At 42.8% G+C, this 491-nt stretch overlaps 1 annotated feature.

The window, feature by feature from the left end:
* Window positions 1-172: a silencer, noted in NCBI's record as "fragment chr8:29306749-29306920 (GRCh37/hg19 assembly coordinates)". NCBI's record gives its function as "represses an EF-1alpha promoter that drives an FKBP-Casp9 reporter gene in an ReSE screen in K562 erythroleukemia cells {active_cell/tissue: K562}" and the evidence as "EXISTENCE:reporter gene assay evidence [ECO:0000049][PMID:32094911]".

The following is a 491-nucleotide window of genomic DNA, read 5'->3' as shown; positions in this document are numbered from 1 at the left end:
GGATGAGGTGATGCCTCACCCTGCTTGTGCTCAAGCTTGGTGCACTGCACCCACTGTCCTGCACCCACTGTCCAACAAGCCCCAGTGAGATGAACCTGGTACCTCAGTTGGAAATGCAGAAATCACCCGTCTTCTGCGTCGCTCATGCTGGGAGCTGTAGACTGGAGCTGTTCCTATTCGTCCATCTTCTGTTTTGCTTTTTCTGTTTGTTTCTTCCTTTGAGAACTGTCCTATTAGCATGCTAGTGCCAAATTACAACACCTAAAAATTCCAATTCCTCTAGCCTTCTAAATTTACTGGATACAACTAAGAAACAAACTATTGCATGTAAAAATTGGAGGATTGGGAGCTTCCAAAAGTTGCTATTACACCAGATGCCATGACTACATCAGATCATCTGAGGAAAGGAACTCTTTCAAGTAGCAATTTAAAATGTAGCTGGGCAATAGTCCAAAATAGATTCTCTAAGAACACTCAAGCTACATATTTTA

The sequence above is a fragment of the Homo sapiens genome, chromosome 8, assembly GCF_000001405.40.
Source record: "Homo sapiens chromosome 8, GRCh38.p14 Primary Assembly".
NCBI classification, from domain to species: domain Eukaryota; kingdom Metazoa; phylum Chordata; class Mammalia; order Primates; family Hominidae; genus Homo; species Homo sapiens.
Note: the sequence above shows the minus strand (reverse complement) of the source record. Positions and strands in the feature narration are given on the sequence as shown.